Source organism: Homo sapiens, chromosome 1, assembly GCF_000001405.40.
Source record: "Homo sapiens chromosome 1, GRCh38.p14 Primary Assembly".
NCBI classification, from domain to species: domain Eukaryota; kingdom Metazoa; phylum Chordata; class Mammalia; order Primates; family Hominidae; genus Homo; species Homo sapiens.
In genome coordinates, this window is record NC_000001.11 from 2,431,573 (window position 1) to 2,454,316 (window position 22,744).

Here is a 22,744-nt window from a genome sequence, read left to right on the forward strand (position 1 = left end):
TCTCCAGAGCTTCCAGAGTCCTGGAGAGCTTCCAACTCTGGCAGGGCCTGGGGGCGGGAGGAGCCAGCGGTCCTATATGCAGAAACAGTATCAGGTCCAGGGGCAACGGTTCCCAGGATAGAGGACTCCTGCTGTGTACCCTTCTGCTGCTGGCCCTGCCCCTCATCACAGTCCCTGCCTCTCCGTTCCTACCCCTTGTTACTGTCCCCGCCCCATGCCTGGGTGGTGGATGCTGAGGGAGGGCAGTCTTGTGCTGGGTGCTGGGCCTACCCTCATCCTGGGGGCCTTTCTGGGAGGCTCCTTCTTGGTTGAGCCGGAATCGTGTCCCTTTCCTTTGAGTCGGTGCCTGCCCCCACTGATGCCAGCTCAGTTACCTGTGCACATTAGGGTGGTGGTTGGCAAGGTGCCCCGGGTGGTGTGGGCCTCTGGCCTGCTCCAGGACAGGCTCGGCTCTGCCTGTTGGGTTTCGGGGTCCCAGACTGGGGGGCTTGTATGGAGCCTCGTGCATTTACCAGGCGTCAGCTTCGTGCTGCCTCCTCTGGGACTCACGGCCATGGCTGCCCACAGTGAGGCCAGGCCCCACTCTGCAGATGAGGCGGTGAGGACCCCACAATGCTGGGGCTGGCACCTGGCTGCCGACTCTCTCATCTTCCTGGCTCACACCCTCAGCCCTGAAGCGGTGGGCAGTGATGGGGATGGGGGTCAGGTCCGCTTGGGAGTGCAGCTTGGGGGTGAATAACTGAGCACTCCGGCTGGGACTGGGGCAGGTGGACAGCAGGGGGCCCAGGTTGGGGGCCGTGGGACAGCACTGGGGCCAGCCCCCTGCCCTGCTGGCCCCTCATGGCTGACAGCACACCCCGTCCCCTGTGCAATTTGCCTTACCCCAGTTCTTGTGTATCCGTGGTAACGGGCTTTCATTTAGAGCAGCTTGATCCAGCTCCTGGGGCTAACGGGTGGGGGAGAATGCAAATGACTGCTGGGCACGTGGCCGGGCCCATGGCACAGGCTGGGGTGTGCACCCGGCCCCCACACTCAGCGCCCTGGGCCCGGGGGCCCCTGCTGGGCATGATGAGGGTCTGAGCTGCCCAGACAGTGCACTCTCCAGGCTCTGGGAGCCTTCACTCCTGATCCCTGAGCCTCTCAGTGCCTGGGGCCGGATGCCAGAGGTGGAGGGTCAGAGCCCGCCGTGCAGGCTTGCCTGGACGGACACCGCCGCCCTCCCACAGCAGGGAGGGTCCCCAACTCCCCCGTCCGGAGGGGCTGTCACAGGAGCTGCCCCTGGGAGGCGCCTGGAGGTCTTTCCCGTCCGTCAGGTGGGGAGGGGTCTGTGGCAGTGCTCCCTTCTCTTCCCGGTGCACACACGGGCTGGGTGGAAGAACCTGGGCACCCTGCCTGCCTGTTACCCACCAGTGCCCATGGCTGAGCTTCAAGTGCCCACCCTTTGCCCCCTCCCATCCCTGAGGTTGGGGCCGTGTTTCCCTCTGGGAGGATCGAACAGCTTGGATGTGGGGCCCCACTGAACTCAGAGGTGGGAGCCTTCTTCAGGCTGCCCCCTAATACTGAGCCAGCAAAGGTAAATGGGGGTCCTCCTTCCACTCTTCCCCTTCCAGATTGGCTCCCGGCCCCCGCTGTGTACGTGCTCAGGTGTCCGGGGAGGACCAGTGTGCTGTGGTGTGGGTGGTGGTGCTGGGAGCAGAGGCAGGCAGGTTTTGTGGGGCTGACTGCATGTGCACCTGGGGCTGCTGGTGGCCTGGCCTCCCTGGCATCTCCATGTGGATGAGGCTGGCAGCATGGCCCTACTTGGCCGGGGGCTGCTGAGGCCCATCCGGGCCGGTGTGCTCCTGTCCCCTGGAGTACTCCAGCGGGAGGCTGTGGCTCTTGGGGTTCAGGGCTGCTGGAGTATGTGTCCCCGCCATTCTCACTGAGCTGGAGCTGGAGCGGCTCAGTCTCGGTGCCTTGAGGCTGGCACAGGTGGGAACGGTGTGTCCGCACAGCAGGAGCCTCCCCGGGGGCTTTCTGACTTCAAAGTGCACTCAGATCTGCGTTTTCCTTCGGACTCTACACCGGCTCTTATGTTGGCGGCTCTTGTATGTTTCTTTTTTCCCTGATCATGAAAGCAAGACTCACTCAGAGGAGATGCTTTGGAAAATACAGAAAAAGACAAGGGAGAAAATCAGACCAGCCATTGCCATCCACCTCTCCCCGCTCCTTCGTGGCTTTGGGTGCCTGGGTTAGGCAGAGCCCCTGCCGGCTCCCCAAACCCCCTCAGAGCCATCGACTCCCTCCACGGATGTGCCCACACTGGGGGTCCCGGGTGATGTTGGCCGTTTGGTCCCTTCAAACGTTTGAATTTTCCCCTGGAGCCCGGCTTTGAGTGTCTGCCTCATGCTCCGAAGGGCAGCAGTGCAGTCTCCCCGGGCACCCAGGAAACTCGACGAGCTGCTGCCATCAACATCGCAGGAGGTTCCTTCACAGGCATCGCGCGTCCGGCTTCGTGGCGGGTCTCCCGTTGTTTCCTTGGAGGCTGCGGGTCTCCCTGGGTGGCGTTTGATGTATGTGCACCGAGCTCTTTGAGGCTCCCACCTTCAGCTTCTTACTGAGCAACCAAGGGAGGTGGCTGGGTGTGCCAGGGGCCGGCGGGGGCCGCGCCTGGGCAGGGGGCACCGCGCCTTCCCCAGGTCAGTCCCTGCCTGAAGCCAGGTCAGAGGCTTTTCTAGAAGGAGGCAGGACACACGGACTCACCTTCACAGCCGTTTACAACCTGGGAAGGTGGCCCCAGCTCCTTGTGCCGTGGGGCCCCTTCTCTCCCGGGCACCCACAGGGCCTCTGGCAGGGGCGTATTTCCCCCACGCACAGGTTCCTTATCTGTCTCCTCAGCTGTATCCAGAATGCAGTCTGGTTGTGGAAAGCAAAATTAAACACTGCCTTTGTAGACAAAGCAGCTGCCGCCAGGTGCGGGCGGCACAAGCTCTGTCACTGGCCTCGGGGGCCCTGACTCTCCTTTGAGATGCAGAACCCTGGACACTGGGCCGTGGGACCCTCCAGTCCCGGAAGGGCCAAGTGTGGCAAGGGCCTGGCTTCCAGCAACCCCCTTCCCCCCACAGCCAGCAGAGGAGCCCCAGGCTGCCCGGGCTGCCAGCCGCACTAAAAGTGGGGAGAGCCTCGCCGGTTGTGTCCCCACTCTGGGGCCATGCAAGCTCCTCTCCCTGGTGCCACGTGCACTGATGATGTGCTTCACCTGGAAATCGAGGCTCCCCGTGGAAACCACCCCCGGGCAGAATCAGCTGTGGGTTGCGTATGTCCTCGGGCGCCCATGCTGTACCCAGGCTGCCCAGGAGAGCTGAGCCCGCACGGGAAGGCAGGCCCCTAGAAGTGTGTCCCCGTGGCCCAGAGCTGGCTTCTCAGGGGGGATTTGTTCTGAGAAGTCCGTGGCCTGCGAGCCTCAGCATGCAGCAGGCCGGGCAGAACACCGGGGCGCAGGGACTTGGCTTTGTCAGCAGCAGGAGGCAGGTGCACTGACCTGGATGGTCCTGCCTGGGCTGCAGAGAAGTGGGCAGTCCAGGAGCTCTGCTGGGAGGAGGAGTGGAGCTCACCAGGACGAAGGAGAGCATGTGGAAGATGGTCCCGGGGGTGAGGACCTTTCCTCCAGGAACCCCTGTCACCTGCGGACAGTGAGCAGGCCAGAGGCCGGGCAGGGGCTGTGGGGGGTGGGGCCCGGTTGCTGCCTCTTGCAGGGAGGGCACCTGGGCTCGGGGTGTTTCCTCAGAGAGGATAGGGAAGTGAGGCTCACGCCCAGGGGTCCCCGGGCTCTGGGCTGACCAGCGCTCTCACACCACCCTGGGTAGTCAGAGGGCACCAGCAAAGCTGTTTTAGGTTCCAAATGGCTGGAGGCTGGAGGCTGGAGGCTGGAGGCTGGAGGCATGTGTTAGTGAGGCGGGGATAGCAGGCGCAGGGGCCTCTCTTTGCAGGGACTGGGGAAGGGGCCAGGGACCTCAATGGGGTCCCTGGGGAGGACAGAGGTGGGAATAGTTGCTGGCTGGCAGGGCCCGAGTGCAGCGTGACACGGCTCTCAGAGCCCACAGCACGCCTGGCCTGTTGTGATCTCCAGGAGGGGAGACTGGGTTTCCAGGGTCCTTTGATGGCTGTGGAGTACAGCCAGGGTGGAGAAGATGATGAACTGTGGGCAGCTGGGGTCCAGAGCCCCTGCGATGGGAGGCTCAGCTCAGTCTGGAGTGAGCCCCCACACCTGGGGGGCTCAGCTGGGAACACCTGGTCTGTCCAGTGTGGGGCTGAATTTGCTGCTGAGACTTGGGCTCTCATCATCTCTCTCCCTCTGGCCAGGAAAAGAGTGAGGGCCCCTCCTCCCTTCCTCCCTCCTCTCCTCCTCCCTCCTCCCTTCTTCCCTCCTCCCTTCTCCCCTCCTCCCTTCCTCCCGCTTCCCTCCTCTCTCCTCCCTCCTCCCCTCCTCCCTTCCTCTCTCCTTCCTCCCCTCCTCCCTTCCTCTCTCCTCCCTCTTCCCCTCCTCTCTTCCTTCCTCCTCCCCTCCTCCCTTCCTCCCTGCTCCCTCATCCCTTCCTCCCTGCTCCCTCCTCCCTTCCTCCCTGCTCCCTCCTTCCTTCCTCTGTTTCCTCCTCCCTCCTTCCTTCCTGCCTCCTCCTTTCCTCCTTCCTCCCTCCTCCCCTCCTCCCTCCTCCTCCTTTCCTCCTTCCTCCCTCCTCCTTTCCTCCTTCTTCCCTCCTCCCTTCCTCCCTCCTCCCTTCCTCCCTCCACCTTTCCTCCCTTCCTCCCTCCTCCCTTCCTCCCTCCTCCCTTCCTCCCTCCACCTTTCCTCCTTCCTCCCTCCACCTTTCCTCCTTTCTCCCTCCTCCCTTCCTCCCTTCCTCCCTCCACCTTTCCTCCTTCCTCCCTCCTCCCCTCCTCCCTCCTCCTCCTTTCCTCCTTCCTCCCTCCTCCTTTCCTCCTTCCTCCCTCCTCCCTTCCTCCCTCCACCTTTCCTCCTTCCTCCCTCCTCCCTCCTCCCTTCCTCCCTCCAAGGTCAGTGGTGACTCCCCAGGGCTTAGCCGTCACCTGTGGCTCTGTCTCCTGGGAGGCCTGGAGAGGCAGGGGTGGGTGGCTATGCAGGCTGTGCTGGCAGGCATGGCCTGAGGGTCAGGCTAGTCCCTTCTCCTAGTGTCCTGGAAACTGGCACTGAGTGGGCATATGCAGCCTTGTCGTGGGCACTGTGGCTCCTGGAGTCTGGTGAAGAGGGCAGGGTTGGTCTTCCTGGGCCAGGGTAGGTGGGGACCTGCAGGCAGGGGAGGGTGTGGGCAGCATGGCCCATCTGGTTAGAGTGTCCCAAGAGACCACCCAGCTGAGGCCTCCTGGGGAGCTCTGGGGCCAGGGTGCACCTTGGGTGGGGGTGAGCATGGGGACCTGAGGTGCTGCTGGGGCCCCTCCCCGGGGCTTTGCTCCCAAGACCCTCCCACAGTCCCCAGCCCAGACAGGGCCGCCAGGCCTCTCGCCTTCTGTGGGGCAGGGCAGCCCCCATGGGTCAGGTGCTCAGTGTTGCCCTGGGGCCCAGTGGGCAGGTGAGGGAGCAGCAAGGCCACAGCAGGTCCCCGGGTCATGGAGGGCTTGGCTGGGAGGGAGCAGGCTTGGGTTATGGCCCGGGGTCACTCTGCCAATTTCGGTGCCTTGGTGGGCTGCGAGCCCCTCTTCTCTGAGCACGGACTCCTGTTCCAGAGGCCCCCACATTCTCTAGGGTTGCTCCATGCAGTGCCCAGCTCCTACTCCTGTCCAAGACTGACTTAGACCTCCTCTGGCCAGCTGGACAGCTCTGCCCAAATCTCAAATTCATCATCCCTGAGGACTCAACCTCAGACCCTGACTCCAGGCCTCCCTGCTGGGCAAATAGCACCCACCGCAACTAGGGGGCCCAGATCCTGGGAACACCCTCCCGCCCACCATCCGACTCAGCCTGGGGGTTTCTCTCCTGTCCCATGTCCCACTCTTTGCTCCACCCCTGCAGCCTCCACCCCTTCAGAACCACCCTCAAGTCATACCTGGCTAAGCAGGGGCCATAGCCAGATCGCCTGCTCCCTGCCTCTCTCTCTAGGGACAGGCAATACACACATGCACACGCACACACGAAGGCACACACATTTGTGCAGACATGCACATACACGTGTGCATACCACACACATACGTGCACACACATATGTATACCCACCCCCACACACATAGGGAAACACATGTGTACATACAACACATGTTCACATGCACCCAAACCACACACGTGCACACACAGTACATGCACCCACGCACGTGGCCGTCCATCTCAGTGGTCTTCCAGAACTCGCCTCTCACCGCCTCCTCTTTGGCCTCGAAGGCCTTCCACGATCTGGCCCTTGCCTGCCTCTGCCACCCCACCCCAACTGAGCATCCGCCAAGGTCCCTCCAGGCCCGCCTGGCACCTACTGCCTCAGCATTAGTAAAGTTCTTGGCAACTTGGTTGTGTGCTGGCTTTGCAGGTCCCTGGGCTGAGGCCTCCCCCAGGGCAGGGTCACACTGCGCTCCCAGCCACCTGGCTCAGAGCCCTGGGGATGCTCAGAGCGTGCCTGTTGGCAGCCGTGGAAATGAGCAAGCGCGGAGATGAACGGCGCTCGGCAGACGGTGTGTGCTGGCGCCCGGCCCTGTGCAGGCGACAGTTGGTTTACAAGGAAGTGTGCACTGGGCCCGGCTGGCGTGGGGTAAGAAGAAAGGGCAGGGCCCAGTGTCCCTGGGTCCCACCAGTCTCTGCCCCTTGGCACCCCTGGGGCATGACTGTGAGGCCGAGGGGCCCAGGGTCAGCCCAGGTCAGCAGGAGGTCCAGGGGAGGGTCTGTCCAGGAGGCACTCCCTCCTGTACTGTCTCCCATGCCCCTGCCATGTCCCCTCCAGCTCACCTCCTGCAAAGGTGTGCACACTCGACCCTGGCCTCCATCAGAGAGGGCAGCATGAGGGCTCTGGGTGTGGGTGCCCACAGGAAGGGGAGGGGGCTGGTGCTTCTCCACATCGTCTTTGCCGATTGCCCAAGAGAGAGCACCCCCGGCCACTGCGGCTAGGGCAGGTGAAGGTCCCTTCTTGCCCCCGCCTCCCAACACCTGCTCCCCACAGCCTGGAAGTCTATTTTCCTCCAAATTTGCTCGGATCATTCCAGCTGGGAGCACCCCCCGTCCCGCTGCCTGCCCACCAGTCTGCCACCCTCCCTGTGTGCCAGAAGGGCCTCTGGTCCCATGGGCACCTTCCCTGCAGATCTAGGGTCCTTCAGGGGGCGCAGCGTGTGCAGGGGGGAACCGGGGCAATTCACGGCAGCATTGAGTGTTTTGCCCCACTTCGCCGGCGTGGGCTGCCCTGCCCAGGGATCTGGATGGGCCGATGGAGCCCAGCTCTGGCCACATGGGTGGCTCCAGGTAGAAGTGGCTTTGACTACGCCCTCCCAGCCCTGACCCAGCTCCCAGGGTCCCTGTCTTGCTAGACCTGGACGGAAATATCTCCCTTGCCAATGAGAAACTGTTTCAAGGCAGGATACCATGTCTCTGGGGACCCTGGGCAGGTGCCTTTCTCTCTTTGTGCCTCAGTTTCCCCCTCAGAGAAAAGGGTGTGTCAGGCCTCAATGATTCCTAAGGGCAGGCAGTGCCTATAAAGACCTTTGGCCCCCCCGAGGGTGTCCTCACCCTTCTCGCTGGCACCAGCCCATGCAGCAAGGTGCCTGGGGGGTCTCAGAGCAGGAGGCTCAGCCCTGCCCACCCACCCCAGTGCTGGCCAGACCTGGTCCCCGACCCCAGGGCTGCCCCCGGGTTCTGGGCCCTGTTCATGGGAAGCCAAGCCAGGGGCAGCTGATCCCATCCCACCCGTTCGTTGTCTTGAGTTCTGATTGAGAACGGGACGTCTTCAGACCAGATGCTGGTGGAAAATGAAACACACACTTTCTAAATTTAGCTGCTGAGGATTGCACGTTTACCCGATTAAGCCCATTGATTGAGTTGCGTGCACGTGCTCTCTCTGCAGTGCTCAGCTGTGCCTCTCCGGGCTGTCTGTCCTCCATGGTGACCTCAGGCTGCAGAAGGGCCTCTGAGACCTCCCGCCCAGGTCTCTGGCCCTGAGCCATCTGTTCACCTGGGGCTGACACTGCCACCCTCGGGGGAGAGTCCCGGGGTCCGTGGGGAGAGCCCGTCAGAGTCCAGCTGGATTCTTCTCCACTGAGGAAAGGCATTGCCTGAGAGACACCGCAGCCAGGCCTGGCTGGAGTGTTCGAGGGCAGCGGGCACGCGGCTCCCTGCCTGCAGGGACCTCATGATCTTAATGTGAAGGGCAGACTCAAAATCAGGGCAAGGTCATGTCCGGGACACTGCGGGGGACAAGGCAACCAGGGAGGCTTCCCAGAGGAGGTGCCTCGTTCCTGACCTTGGAAACCAGGCAGGGGTGGGCAGGGGGCCTGTGGAGAAGGGGGAGTCAGGCTTGGTGGAGTGTCTATGAGGGAAGGGCAAACAGGGTAGAGAAGGCAGCTGCAGCCAGTCCACAGGGCCCTGGGTGCCAGGCTGAGGGGTCCGATGTAGCCTGTGGTCCAGCTGCAGGGGTGGGTGTATTGGAGTGAGGCCTGCAGGCCAGATGGGGTCTGTGGGTATGGCCCAGGAAGTGGCCCATCTGGGAGCGCCCGGGAAGGAAGACTGGCTGGGAGGGCTGGAGCTGGGGAGGATCTCGGGTGGGGGGCAGGCGGTGTGCCCTGGCTGCCGGGGTTGCCCCCAGGAGCACCCGGCCATGGTGGTGGGTGCCTCCACACAGTCTGCCGTGAGAGGAGGCCTCTCTCCATGTCTGTCGCTGGCCTTGCCCGGCCCGCCCGGGGATCTTGCATTGCTGCGACCAGGGATCCTCTCTCCATGTCTGTCGCTGGCCTTGCCCGGCCCGCCCGGGGATCTTGCATTGCTGCGACCAGGGATCCTCTCTCCATGTCTGTCGCTGGCCTTGCCTGGCCCGCCCGGGGATCTTGCATTGCTGCGACCAGTGATCCTCTCTCCATGTCTGTCGCTGGCCTTGCCCGGCCCGCCAGGGGATCTTGCATGCTGCGACCAGGGATCCTCTCTCCATGTCTGTCGCTGGCCTTGGCCGGCCTGCCCGGGGATCTTGCATGCTGCGACCAGGGATTCTTGAGCCTCTGGCTCAGGATGGAGATTTCTTTCACAGTTTCCAATTTGCGTTTCGGTTTTGGCTTCGTGCAGGAGGCCAGGTTTCTGTCTCATTGCTGTTGGTGTCATCTCTCTGCCTCTGTCCCTGGGTCCCTGGTGCTTGGCCACGTCCCCCCGGGAACGGAAGGCTGTGGGTCTTTCCTCCTGGGGCCTCATCTGAGGCCACTGAGCTCCACAACTGCCAAGATCTGGCTGTGCCCGGGTGGTCCTGCCCCCAGGAAACCGCCCCGACCATGCTGTCCGGGAAAGGGGGTGCAGATGGGCATGGTTCAGAGGGCACTGCCCGCTCCAGGTGCCCAGGAAGTGGAGGGGGTGGGTTCCCATCCTGACTGCACCTGGCTCCAGGTGGTCTCTAAGCCAGGCAGTGAAAGGGGTGCTCAGGCTTTCATCTGAGGAAAGCCCCTAGAGGGCCGGGGGATGGGAAAAGTGGAGAGAGCCCCCCTGGCAGCCCCTGCCGGCCCCTGCCAGCCCCTGCTGTGAAGCCTCAGAAGCGAAGAGGCGCGGGCACCACACGTATGGTCCCAGAGCAACTCCCAGCTCCAAGCAGGCGTCGCATCCGGCCTGGGTTTGGCTTCTGCCAGCTCCTGGGCCTGCACTGGGAGGGGCTGAGCGTGGGGGCATGGGGGTGGGCAGGAGCCTGGGGATGTTCATTCACAGCACCGAGCTCTGTGGGTACTCTTTCATTCACCCACACCTCATTTATTCCTCCTGCACGTTTCTGAGCATCGACTGGCACGTCCATCCTCCACTCATCTGCTGAGTCCACTCTCACTTTGGGATCCCAGACCAGCTGATGCTGTCACGGTGGGGTTTCCTCCTGGGAAGGAGAGGGAGGAGCGGCAGCTCTGCCCTGGCCTGGGCATTAGGTCCCTGGTGTAGGGGTAAGCAGAGAAGCTGCAGGAGCCAGCACCCCGGGAGAGGAAGCCAGGGTGGAGTCTGGGAGTCCCGTGGGCCAGTGTGGCCAAGGGAGCCAGGAACTAGCCTTTCCTTGGAGGAGAAGCCCTGGAGCTGCCGCAGGGTTCACTGGGGGAGGAGCGGCTCTCTTTGCCTTCCATCCACAGCCCGCATTAAGGCAGCCACACCTCAGGGCGCAGGGCTCTGTCAGCCCCTCAGGGTAGTGATGACAGAGGCTTCACTGCAGGCTCATGGTCCTGGGCAGAGGCTGCTAGAGCCCGCCCAGCCTCAGCCAGATGAAACATCCGGGAACACACACCCGGCACAGAGTCTCCAGGGCTGTGTGGAGATGGCACTGCCTGGTGCTCCTGGAAAGCAGAAAGCCTCGGGAGCGGAGCTGGCCCTGCAGGCGGCAGGACGTAGCCTCTCCGCGGTGAGCTTTGCACCAGGAGGAATCCTGACCATGCCCCAGGCTCTGGGGCACAGCCAAGCAATAGACTGCTTGGGGGAGTCAGAAACCTCCTGGGCTTCAGCAATCAGGAAAGAACCATAGACACCAGCAGGTCTATTCCTGGGGAAACTGAGGTCTGGAGGGGAGACTGAGGCCTCTCGTGAATCTGTGGGGAGCCAGGACATGCACCTGTGTCTTCTGTCTCCTCTTCAGCCACTACGCCAGGGCCAGATGGTGGGCAGGGTCTGCTTTGGAGAGCAAAATAGAAACTCCGGCAACACTGGTCCTGAGTGACACGCTCCCACGCACCCCTACCCCACCCCTGGCCTCCTCCCTGGCTCCCAGCTTGGTGCCCATCTCGGGCCTCATCTCAGACTCAGCCTTTCCTCTCCCTGGCAGGCAGAGCTGACGGGCCCAGGGATGTGTGTGTCCTTAGTGGCCTGTGCCCCTTTCTCAGCTCTGGCGAGGACCCCCTCTCAGTCTGAACCACTCATATTAGACCCAAAGAACAAAGTCCAGGGACCCTTGGGTGCAGAAGCAGCATGGTGTGGGTGCACGGGGCTGCCCTAGGGTGAACGCTGTGGCTTCCCTCTAAGGCTGGAGGCTGGCCTTGTGGGTAAGCTGGGGGCTCTGAGTGCAGGAGCCCTTCTTGTTCCAGAGTCTGCCAGGAGGGTCTGTTGGGAAAGTTCTGCCTCTTGGCTCTGTGGCCAAGGCAGACCTGGGGGAGCTGAGGCCTCTCTGGACACAGGCCAGAGCTGGGCAGTCTCTCTTGACTTGTCTCCCGCCTCCTCCTTCATGGCTGCCTGCAGCAGAGCGGGGAACCGACGAAGTGCCTGGAAACAGAGAAGCCTGGTGGGCAGGGAGGGTCCCCAGGGTCTAGGGCCTGTCTCTGTGGCTGCTTTGGGCCTCCAGGGTCTGGAACAGTGGAAGAGTTGACTGGTGTGGGGCTAGGGACCTGCCCAGGGGAATGGTCATCCTGGTTCTCCCTGGGGGCACAGGAGGCAGCACCAAGCTCCCTCCCCCCAGAGGTGGGTGGGCTGGCCGCCCGATGGGAGCTAAGGGTGCCCTGCCACCCTCTTGGGGCTGGGCCGTACCCCGTTCTCAGCAGTCCCAGGCACTTCTGCAAGGGTCTGCATGTGCCCCTGACATCTTAGTTGGGGGAGGGGTGGCCCAGGCCCCAGTCCTCAAATGGGGAAGGGATGGCCCAGGCCCCAGTCCTCAAACGCCAGGGTGTTGGGAGTGGGGGGTGGGTTGTAGTGTCGCCGGGGCCCCTGTCTTGGCTTCTTCCAGCGCCTGGGCAAACGCCCAGCCTGGAGATGGGAAGCGCTCTCGGCCCCGCCCCCTTCCCGGTCCCGCCGGCTGGGGCCACGGGGAGCCGGAGGGAGGCGGAGGGGGAGGTGTGGGGAGCGGAAGGCCGCAGGAGCATCTTTGCGGAGAAAGTACTTTGGCTGCGGCGGGCGCAGGGCGGGCCGGCTAGCCCCGCGCCCCACCTGTTCTGTGCGTCGCGCTCGCCCGGTTGCGCCCGATCTGCCTCCAGCCCGGTGCCCGCCGCGGAGCCCGCGCCCCCGGCCCCCTCCCGGCGCGGGGCGGGCAGGGGGTGTGGTGCGGGCGGCACGAGTGACAGCGCGCTCCTCGCGCGGCGCCTCCACGGGGCGCAGTGTCACCGCGCACAGCCCGCCGCGGGCCGCCCGAGCTGGCGGGGCGATGCCGCGGGAGCCGGAGCCCCAGCCCGAGCCCGAGCCCGGCCGCTGACTGCGCCTCCCGGCCCGCAGCCCCCGCCCCCGCCGCCCTCGCTGCCCTCGCTGCAGCCGCCACGGAGACAATGGACGCGGGAGCCGCCCCGCAGAAGCACAGTAGGTGCCGCTCCTGCCGCTGCGCCGCTGCCAACCGGGATGCGCGGGTGGACGCGCGGGGGCGCCGCAGCCCTGGTGCGGGTCGGGGCTGAGCCGCCTGGGCTTCAGACTCGGGAGCGGAGGCTCGGATCGCGGTGGCACGGGCAGGGGTGCGGGCGCGGGACTGTGGGCGGGACGGGCGGAGCGGTCTTGAGCTCTCCGGATGGCCTCAGGTGCGGGGTGAGGGATCTGGGGGCCGCCCCTCGGCAAACTTTCCTTCCCCGGGCTTCTGCGGAGGTCGCACTGGGGCTGTGACCGTGCTGAGAATGACCCCTGCTGAGCCCAGGCCGGGCACCCCGATCCCTGCCGGATGGTGCCGCAGGGCACCCTGTGTGGGTCCGGGAGGTGCTGCGTGGACTTGCCGCATGGCACATCTGCCTGGGCTGCAGGTGCTCATCTGGGGGGAGCCGGCCTCTCCCCACACTAGCAGGTGGGGTGCAGCGGGCACTGCCCGGGCAGGCGGGAGCTCCGGAGGCCCTGGGGCGGCCCTGCTGGATGGTCTGTAGGACACGGGAGGGGGAAGTGTTTGAGTGTCCACTGCTGAGGGGTCTCCTGGGCTCTGGACCTGCCGGCAGAGCTACAGGGTATTCTTTAGGGAGATGGGCTCTGCTGGAGCTGGTGGAGGAAGATGCCAAGGAGATAAGAGGCTTCCCCTCCCCTCCGCTCCCCGCCTCCCACACTGTCTGGTGACACTGGAGGCAGCCAAGGTGGCCACTGATCCCCACTGTGACCACTGAGACCACTGGAACTGCCCTTCCCCCATGGCCTTCTCCCTCCAGGAGAATGGACCCGATCGGTGTCCCCTTCGTCCCCTGACACGTTGGTCTGGGGAGGCGGGGTCACGGTGCCCCAACACCCCTGACTTGGGGAGCCCATGGTGTCTGCCTGCCTGGGTGTCTGATCCTAGAGACTCCTTCAGCGAGGTGCAGCCTCAGAGGGGATTCAGGCACCATGGGAGGCCGGGGAGGGGCAAGTCAGAGGGCGGAGGCCACTGTCCTATCTCCTGCTTGGTTGGTGGGGACAGAAGCCAGCCTGTTGGTCTCCCCTAGGACCCTGGGCTGATGGGAGAAGTCGTCTCTAAATTGGCCCCCACTATGTTCCCTCTGCACTTAAGCCAGGGCCACATTCTCCGCACTGCCCTAGGGGAGGGTCTGGGGTCTGGAAAGGATGAGGGAGGCAGGTGTGCACTGGGCAAGTGGGTGCCTGTGGCTGTGCTGAGGGTCCCCACAGGCCCCTTCCCTGAGGCTGAACGCCTGATGGCCCTGCCCTCTGGGAGGTGAGAGAGCTGAGCCTGCAGCCTCGTCTGGACGAGGCAGGGAGGGAGACTGGCGCCTGCTTGGCATGTCCCCAGGGAAACCAGGGCAGTGAGAGAAGAGGCTGGAACAGGCCTGGGCAGTGGTCGGGGAACTGGTGGGAGTGTCTGCTGGACAGTGTGTAGAAGACTCGGGGCTCGGGGCTTGGTCTGGTGGCCTTGGCCTCAGATCCCTGAGCATGAGGCTGGGGTCAGGCCTGATGTCCAGCCTCTGGCAGAGCTGGCTGTGGGTGGGGAACAGCTGGGGGTACGGGGGAGGGTGGGGACAGGTTGGCAGCGGCCCCTCCTGTGGGTGACCAGGTAGGGACCCTGCCCAGAGGGGGGAGGCAGAGGAGCTGGTGGGCAGGAGAGACCCCCTACAGACCCTCCTAGGTGGTGGTGGGGGCCTGGCAGCCCGGTTCCCGAGGCCCTCACTGCTGCTGCTGGAGTTCAGGTGACATAATCTGCACGGCACACACGGATTGCCGTAAGCCGCAGCAGCCAGGTCTGACAATACGAGTTGTAATTGGATTTTAATTTTTAATGTCCACAACACATGAAGAGCTTCGGACCAATTTGTGTATCTTCTGTTACTCTGCGCCTAATAGGACCGCTTCATTAGCTGCTGTCGCACCCACAGTGCCGTCTGTCCGGGAACGGAGGGAGCCTGGCCCGAGCCCCATGCCAGAGCCCCAAGAGCTGCCTGCCACCTGCTCCAGTGATGGGCACGCCGACGGGAGGGGGGCTGAGGACCAGCCCAGAGGGTCCCTCCCGCTGCCTGGCCGGGCTTCCACCCCCGTCCTGCTTCCCTGTCCACTGCAGTCCTAGCCAGGGTGCTGCCCCTGGCTGCCAGGAAGGGGTGGCCATTGGGGGCTTGGACATCAGTGTACCCACTGAAGGCCCAGCTTCCCCGCTGCTGCCCACTCTGGGGCTGTCACAGGCCCCACTGGGACTCTTGTCTCCAATGGCCCCTGGGCACAAGTGGCCCTGGATTCTGGGGTTCCATTGCCACTCACCCCCCTATTCACTTGTGGCTCAGCCCTGCCTGCGATTTGGGGGTTGAGGCTGGAGTTAAGACCCTGTAGCCAGGTCTCCCGGGGCTGGGGGTGGGGTGGCCCTTGACAGACTGGGGCCCCAGGCAGAAGCAGGAGCTGTGTGCCTCAGGCCCCTCCCTCCCCCCAGCTGCAGGGGTCCCAGGAGGCGGGGCAGCTCCGACTCCGACCGCCCTCCGGATTATTCTTAGGTCTGTTGTGTAACAGGCGCACATTGGAGGCAGAGGGAGGAAGGGCTCCTGGAGATGTCTCCGGCGGCAGCAGCTAGCCAGCCGGGAGAACAGCTTTTGTCCTTTCCACTCGCCCAGCACAAAGGGACAAAGGAGGCTGCCTCGGCTGCCCAGCCCAGCTGAGAGCTGGCCAACCTGGGCCCATGCAGAGGGGTTGGGCTGGCAGAGGGGTTGGGGCTGGCAGAGGGGTCGGGGCCTGCAGAGGGGTCAGAGCCGGCAGGAATGTGATCATCCCTTCACTGCCTCATGCTCCCCAGGGCTGGGCTGAGTCTGGGCTGGGGCTCCTTCCTCCTCCTGCCCCTGCAGCCCCGTGTGTGTGTGCACACCTCTGTGCCCATGCACAAGCACCTTTCCGGGGCCAGCTTCAGGCAGCACGGTGGCCTGGTGGAGGTGGAGGTGGCAGAGGGTACCCACCCCAGCCTCAGAGCCGCCCTCAGGGCTCCTCTTCCTGCCTTCCTCTCCCACCCCCTCATGTGCTCCCAGCAGCCTTTGGGTGTCGATTCCGGGGTCTCCACCCCCGCAGATGGGAGCAGGCTCCTCATGCCTGCCTTCTGAGCTCCCAGTGCAGATCAGACTCTGTGCGTGAGGCTCCAGGAGGAGCCAGGCTTGATGGCAGAAACGAGCAACCTGAGGGGCTTCCAGGGCTAGGGTGGCTGCAGGGTGGGGCCCCAAGTCTGTGGGGGGAGGCCCATTTGCTCACCTCACCCGCATCCTCCAGGACCACTCTGCCTTCAGCTCCTTCTCCCGGATCGCTGGACCTGTGTTCCGCACACACCTGCACACAGCTGTACAGTCACTCCCAAGACGGCTAAGCCAGCCTTCTCAGGGCTCCCCCTCCCCTCCCCCAGGTTCTGCTGTGCTCCCAGGGTGCCCTCCCACTGGGGAGCAAGGAGGGACATGCATAGTGGGTGGAGATTCCACCAGGGGAGGCCCCGTGTTGAGGGCCTGCAGCTCCAGGGAGGGGCCGCTGACCCGGAGCTCCACTGTGACCCTTGACTGTGACTGAGCTGCTGACCCTGGAGAGACTGGAAGGCAGGAAAGGCTTGGGGGTGGGGGCAAGTTGCTGAAATGTCCCCAGCTTGATCTCTCAGGTTGGGCCCAGGGAGACGCCTGACTGGAGCTTCAGCGGTGGTAACCTGGCCTCACTCCTCCCTGATGTGGCCCGGTCTGCCCACTTCGGGGCAGCTGCTCTCTGAGTCTTTGGGGTCTTTCCCTCAGCCCACCGGGGACCAGCCGACCGGGAACCGGGGAATACAGAGGATGTATTCCCTGAGGATGCATGTGCTCTGCGGCAAGGCCTGAGGTCTTTCCGTCCCTCCCTGGCTGCGGGACTTTGGCAGGGCACTCGGCCCCTGCTTATCCCTCCCTCCCCTGCGGTACCAGGAGAGTCAGTGAGATCATTCAGACCAGGCTGTGCCGCAGTGCCTGTGGGTGGAGGGCATGGTGCCCCTGGCTGCTGTGGTCCTTTTTCCCTGGTCGTGGCCTCCAGGCAGCCAAACCCAGGCAAAGGTGACCCTTGTCAGGAACGCTTTGCTGACAGCTGGGCTGCCCTTGCCCTCCTGGAGCGCCAGGTGCCCCGGGTGTCTGGAGCACCACGACATGGAGGGGTGTGTTTCCTGCAGCTGCTGGGACCGGCTGCCGTGCACTGGCCACTAAAAACGCCGCACGCTTATTCTCTCGCAGTCCTGGAGGCTGGAAGTCTGAGGTCAGGGTGTGGGTGGGGCCGCGCTCCCTCTGCAGGCTCCCCGGGAGGAACTTCCTGGCCTCCTCCAGCTTCTGGTGGCTCTGGCGTCCCTTGGGTTGTGGCCGCCTCCTGCTTCTGCCTGTCTTCCCTCGCCCTTCTCTCCGTCTTCTCTTGCGCCTCGAGTCTCCTTTGTCCTGTAGGATCTGGGGCCTGCCTGGGTCATTCGGGACGATCTCCTCGGCGCAGGCCTTTCACTGAGCACGCCCTCAGAGACCCTTTTTCCAAATAAGGCCAAATTCACAGGCTCTGGGATGCGGATGTGTTTTCTGTCGGGGGTCGCCCTTCAGCCCCCTACTGTGGCCGTGTGCTCCACCCCAGCACCCCCGCCCGAGGCAGGCCCTGGAGCTCACGCTGCTGAGGTCCCACAGGCCCCCTGGCGCAGCCTCCTGGCTCCCCACCATCCCCCCTGGTGCAGCCTCCTGGCTCCCCACCATCCAGTCTCTCCCTGGGTGGGGTCCTGGCTCCACAGGTGACCAAGAGGGGTACTGGAGGCCTGGACGGGCCTCACTCCATTCTTAGGGAGCGGCTGCTCCTGGTTCCCAACCACAAGTCACATCACTGCTGCCCCGGAAGGCACCTGGGGCCTCCAGAATGCTCGTTTCGTCAAACTGTTGTACGTGGCTCCTTTGCTGGCGCGGGGAAAGGGCCGTGGGCTTGGGCCCTGGAACGCATCCCAGGATCAGTGGCTCTGCAGGCTCCAGGCCCCACCAGCTGCTCTGAGGAGGCTCAGATGGGTCTGGGAGTCCTGGTCGGAGCTGTAGCAGCTTCACATCCCCCTGGACGGAGGAAAATGCAGATTCAGCACCCCCACCCCCCGCCCCCCACCACCCAGAGGTTGGAGCTATTTCAGTAGAAATACATGTTTTAAACTGGGGCGTCTGGCCAGCCACGGTGGCTCATGCCTGTAATCCCAGCACTTTGGGAGGCTGAGGCGGGTGGATCACCTGAGATCAGGAGTTCGAGACCAGCCTGGGCAACATGGTGAAACCCTGTCTCTACTCAAAATACAAAAATTTATCTGTGTGTGGTGGCAAGCACCTGCAATCCCAGCTACTTGGGAGGCTGAGGCAGGAGAATCGCTTGAACCTGGGAGGTGGCAGAGGTTGCAGTGAGCTGAGATGGTGCTACTGCACTCCAGCCTGGGTGACATAGTGAGACTCTGTCTCAACAAAACCAACCAACCAACCAACCAACCAACCAACCAACCAGCAAACCAGGGTGTCAAGGCCCACACTTGAGGGAGTGGTGTCAGGTGAGGTGGGGGACCAGGTCTGCAGCAGCCTCTGCCTGGCCTGGGTGGGGCAGCTCTGCCCAGGTGGTGTCACTGGGGTGGAGGACATGGCTCTGGAGCTGGGCAGACTTGGATCCCAAATCTGCAACTGTGTGGCCTTGGGCAATGGACTCACTGCTGAGATGAGCCAGCAGTAGTATGTTATGGGCAGGGCTGTGTGGCTGCCTGTAAGCTCTGCCTAGCCACCTCTCAGGGACAGTGGCTGCCCCAGCCTCGCCCCGTCCTGCCCCTGCTCCGTGACGCTCCCTGGAACTCAGTCATTCTCTGGGGAACCAACAGCCCTCAGAACTGAGTTGCAGCTGTAGCTGCAGTTGTCTTTGATGCATAAGTGGGAGGCTGGCCTCGGACTGGGCTGCCGCCGCCAAGCTCAGCCCTGGGGAAGTGGGTGAATGAAGCTGTTTCTCTGCATACAGTGTCTCCCTGGCTCCCCTGGGGTCTCCTGAGCCACCTCAAGGAGCCCCGGCCCCTCCCAGCTGGGCCCGTCCCCTGAGGCTTGTCCAGGAACAGGCACCCTGGGCAGAGGTGGCTTCATCCGTTGCTGTCCCCTTCTTGGCTGGGCCTCGACGGGGGGGCAGATATCGGGCACCTCCTCCCAGGAGGGAGTTTGGTTTTTGTCTGCAAAATGTGATCCTTCGAGAGCTGGTTCAAACACCCAGCCATTCCCTCCCTCCCCGTGGGCCTCCAGCACAGGCGGCCGGTCCTCTGGGTGCCTCGTTAGCTCACCAGGACGTGCCCCACTTTTCAGAGCCTCTGCTCTACATGAAGTGAAGATGGGCTGGGCCGTCTGGGATGTTTCCCGCGGCATTCAGAACACAGAAAAGGAGCTCGTTACCAAGTGCCCCCAACTCGGCCTGCCTCCCTATTCAGCCTGCGCCCTATACAGCCTGCCCCCAACTCCCTGCCTGGCCCCACTCCCCGCTTGCCCCCCAATTCCCCACCTGCCCCCTAACTCCCCACCTTCCCCCTCACTCCCCACCTGCCCCCCACTCGGCCTGCCCTCCAACTCCAACTCCCCCCCTGCCCCCCGCTCCCTGTCTGCCCCCCTGCTCCCCGCCTACCCCCCTCTCCCCGCCTGCCCCCCCGCTCCCCGCCTGCCCCCCGCTCCCCGCCTACCCCCCGCTCCCCGCCTGCTGACTGTTGCATCCCAGGTTCCAGACCCTTGGACCAGGCGCGTTCAAGGCCAAGCACGTGGGACCCCAGCCTGGGCTCAAATCCCCACCTGTCCGCCCACCAGTTGCTGGACTGTGGGTTTTGGGGACATACCTGTGTCTCTGGGTCTCAGTTTCCTCATCTGTGAAAAGGGGGTGACAGTGGTTGTGAGGGTGAGCAGGTGACTTGTAGAGAAGGAGGGACAGCTCGGCAGTGGGACCCCCGCCTGTGCTAGGGATGTCGGCTCCCAGGACACAGCCCTGGCCCTGGCCCTGCCATAGGGGCTGTGGCTCGGCCACCCAGCACACGCTGTCTGGAAATAGGACTTGAGGTGCAATTTGGGGCAGGGCCTGGGGTCCAGGCCAGCAGCTGGGCCGAGTGCGCTCCAGGAGGGAGGCCTGTTGCTGGTGTCCACGTCAACAAGGTGCCGGGCGCTTCTCCACTCCCCAGGGCCCTCCCCCTCCCAGCCAAGGCAGGCGGTGGTGGGCTTGCCTCGTGTCCCGATTGTGGGGTCTGGGGCCAGAGATGTGTGTGCCTCCCCGGCCCCCGAAGATCATACGCAGTAGCGTCTCCGAGGGATGCCACTAGCAGTGACAGGCAGAGATTGTCGCGGAGAATGTGGCTGATGGAGGTGCGTTTCTGGGCTGTACAGATCAGTGCCGCCCCTCTGGACTGATCAGTGCTGCCCAGCTAACCCCTGGCAGCCCCAGTAGGGCTTCTGGAGGAAGCCCCTCTACTCCAGCCCCAGGAACTGGCTCCAAGGGCCACCGTGAGGCCAGAGAGCCGCGACCCACCAACATGTCCTATCACCGTGGAGGGCAGCCCTGTGGGAGTCTGCGCCATGGGTGGGCTGGGGGCTCTCGGGGGCTCTGACCCCTCAGAGGGTCAGCCACCGTTGGCAGCAGGGAGCCCTTCCCCCAGACCACAGCCCTGGTAATGGGGGCAGGACAGGCCAATGGGACCCCTCCCTGGGGGCTGGGCAGCGAGTTGGCCCCACCGGCCTGGGACCCTAACGTGCTCTTGGCCCCAGCCCTGCCCCCACTGCGTCTGGGCTGCCGGGGGGGCGGTGGGTGGTGGTGGGGGGACTGTGATTCAGGCTGAGCTGTCACGGATGCCTGTCATCGGCATGCTGGTGGGGAAGTGTCTGTTTGCACAGAAAACACGTTCTGAGCCCCGGGATCTTTGTCATCCTTCAGAAATGCCAACCCTGTGAAGTGAGGTCTGCTCTGCCGTGGGCCTGTCGGAGGAGGCTGAGCAGAGACTTCCGTCTGGGCCCCGAGCTTTGGCAGTGCACGGGAAGGCGCCCCCTCCCTCTGGCCCGAGGCTCCCTTGCTGGTAGGGGCAGCGGGCAGCCCCCACTGCATTGCTGAGCCTGGAACCACGGTGGCCGCCGTGTGCAGCCAGGTGTGCAGAAGGACGGTGGAGGCTGAGTGCAGCTGGGCCGCACGACCCAGGATGCTGGAGCTTCAGGGAGCAATCCGGAGGTTCTCCAGAAGCCGCTGAGGCCTGGGTCCCCCTGCCGCCCCCCATCCCCCGGCCCTGCCTGGCAGGTAGCAGCCCCGTGGAAGTATTTCATCTTGGCTGAAAGGCAGCAGCTGCCGTCCTGGAGTGAGCCCCGTGGAGGGGGGCCTATCTGGTGGGGATGGGAGCCCTTGATCCTGCCTCCTGCTCTCCCTCCTGCCCTGGCCCTCCCTGCCTGTTCCCTGCCCCAGCCCCTCTGGCCTTTGGGAGCGGCCACCGTGAGCAGCAGGAGGTGAGGGCTGGTGCTGAGGTGGGGTCCACCTCCCTCCAGCGGCGCCTTGCAGGCATTCGGGGAGCAAATGCACCGTTCACTCCACCCCAAGCTGCCCCAGAGAGCAGCAGATGGGCCCAGGGAGGGGCTTAAATAATTCACAGGCCCTGGGGACAGGGGATGCTAGCCTAGGGTTCCCCAACCAGAGGCTGGGCATGAACCTCCCTTCTGGGGCGCCTGGCCACCCAGTCAGCCTTGGTCCTGGGAGGGCCTGGAGCTTGGCCAGTCGCTGTCCTCAGCTGACCGCCGCTGGGCCTGGCCCCGGGTGCAGCAAGTACACAACAAAGGCAGTGCCTTTGTTGCCCGGAGCTCAGCAGAGCCTAGAGGAGGACAGCCTGGAGGAAGGGTGCCTGTTGGCACCTGGTCCTGGCTTCTCAGGCGGGAAGTCCCGGCTCACCCCACCCCTTCCCATGGATCCATTCCCGGTGGGGGCGCCCCTCAGTGCTCTCAGAGTCCTGGCTCACCCCGCCCTTCCCCGTGGATCCATTCCTGGTCGGGGCGCCCCCTCAGTGCTCTCAGAGCTGGGACTCCTCACCACCTCCACCCAGGCCTGGGCCGCCCATCCCCCACCGTGCTACAAGCCTCCTGCCTGTCCCCCGATCTTCCAGTGGGGCAGCCGGGACAATTTGCCAAAACGCAAGTCTGCCCCCCGACAGCGCCAGTGCCCCCACTGTGCTCGAGATGTGGTCTGTGGGCGCCGTGCTCCCTGGGGCCCTTCCCCGTGTGGTGCTGCTTGGGAGGTGAAGACCCCTGAGGCATATGTTTCCAGTCCGCCCTGTTATCGCCCATTGCAAAGATGAGGACATTGAAGCTGGGGATGGCAGGCGGTGCAGGGGAGGCCCTTGTCCTATCTGGAGGGCTCACTGGGAGCGTCTGTGCACACCGCAGGCCCTCCCCAGCCTGGAGAAGGGGGCCACTGGCCCCGGAATGCTGACAGTGATCTGGGCTGAGACACGGGGCTCACAGGACCTCCTTCACGTGTCCAGGGCCAGTGTCTTCACAGGGCCCTGTGGCCTTTGCCCTCCCCATTGCCCAGGGCCACCCCCCTCTGGCAGGGGCAGGACCCTCCACCACCCCTTCCTTCCACCCCCTGTGGAGCAGAGCCCCATCCTCCCAGCAGAGGAAAGTGCACCCCAGTGCCTGCTCTCTGCTGCCTCTTTCTGGGGTCCTTGTTCCTGTGTGCAGCCCCTGGACACCCTCTCCTGACTCCAGCAGATGCCAGCCCTGGGTCCAGCCTGGTGCCTGTCCCCGTCTCCCGGTGGGGAGGGCTGCTATGGCTTCCAGGGTCCCCAGGACTTTGGGCAACGGTGGCGGGGGCTGCTGGAGGGGCCTGGCCTGCGCCTGCCGAGTGGGGTGGGGGAAAGAGGGCAGGCCCCAGCCAGTGTGGGGGCCTCTGAGAGCCGAGTGTGTGGGGGCCTCTGAGAGCCGAGTGTGTGGGGGCCTCTGAGAGCCAAGGCTGGTAGTGGGGTTCCGGGGGTGCCGCAAGCCACCCCCACCCCGAGTCTGTCACCCACCTATGGGTGCCCACTGTGGGCATAGCCATGAGGGCCACCTGGCCTCTCCAGCAGTCCGGGCTGGGTGTTTGGCCTCCCCGGGGCATGTCCTGGCTCACCTGGCTGAGCTCCTAGGGCAGGAACTGCCTGTTCCCTTCCTGCCCTGCAGCACTGGAGGTGACCTGGGCCTGGGCCCTCCAGTTCCCCGATGGCCAGTGCCCCGCCCACCATGCCCGACTCACCCTGACACGTGGGGATCCCCA

The 22,744-nt window shown here is 64.3% G+C and overlaps 1 protein-coding gene across 9 annotated transcripts in view, besides 5 other annotated features; it reads left to right on the plus strand.

Annotated features, from left to right (window-relative positions):
* PLCH2 (phospholipase C eta 2) overlaps nt 1-22,744 on the plus strand; it is an 89,590-nt gene that overhangs the window by 15,630 nt on the left and 51,216 nt on the right. The gene's annotated exons all lie outside the window — the stretch shown is intronic.
* Nucleotides 14,019-14,853: an enhancer, noted in NCBI's record as "H3K27ac-H3K4me1 hESC enhancer chr1:2377030-2377864 (GRCh37/hg19 assembly coordinates)". NCBI's record gives its function as "activates a minimal SCP1, AML or CMV promoter by ChIP-STARR-seq in naive H9 embryonic stem cells {active_cell/tissue: H9 hESC(naive)}" and the evidence as "EXISTENCE:reporter gene assay evidence [ECO:0000049][PMID:30033119]".
* Nucleotides 15,689-16,523: an enhancer, noted in NCBI's record as "H3K4me1 hESC enhancer chr1:2378700-2379534 (GRCh37/hg19 assembly coordinates)". NCBI's record gives its function as "activates a minimal SCP1, AML or CMV promoter by ChIP-STARR-seq in primed H9 embryonic stem cells {active_cell/tissue: H9 hESC(primed)}" and the evidence as "EXISTENCE:reporter gene assay evidence [ECO:0000049][PMID:30033119]".
* Nucleotides 16,578-16,872: an enhancer, noted in NCBI's record as "tiled region #13638; K562 Activating DNase matched - State 20:ReprD". NCBI's record gives its function as "activates a minimal TATA promoter and a strong SV40 promoter by Sharpr-MPRA in K562 cells {active_cell/tissue: K562}" and the evidence as "EXISTENCE:reporter gene assay evidence [ECO:0000049][PMID:27701403]".
* Nucleotides 20,055-20,703: an enhancer, noted in NCBI's record as "H3K4me1 hESC enhancer chr1:2383066-2383714 (GRCh37/hg19 assembly coordinates)". NCBI's record gives its function as "activates a minimal SCP1, AML or CMV promoter by ChIP-STARR-seq in naive H9 embryonic stem cells {active_cell/tissue: H9 hESC(naive)}" and the evidence as "EXISTENCE:reporter gene assay evidence [ECO:0000049][PMID:30033119]".
* Nucleotides 20,704-21,351: an enhancer, noted in NCBI's record as "H3K4me1 hESC enhancer chr1:2383715-2384362 (GRCh37/hg19 assembly coordinates)". NCBI's record gives its function as "activates a minimal SCP1, AML or CMV promoter by ChIP-STARR-seq in naive and primed H9 embryonic stem cells {active_cell/tissue: H9 hESC(naive and primed)}" and the evidence as "EXISTENCE:reporter gene assay evidence [ECO:0000049][PMID:30033119]".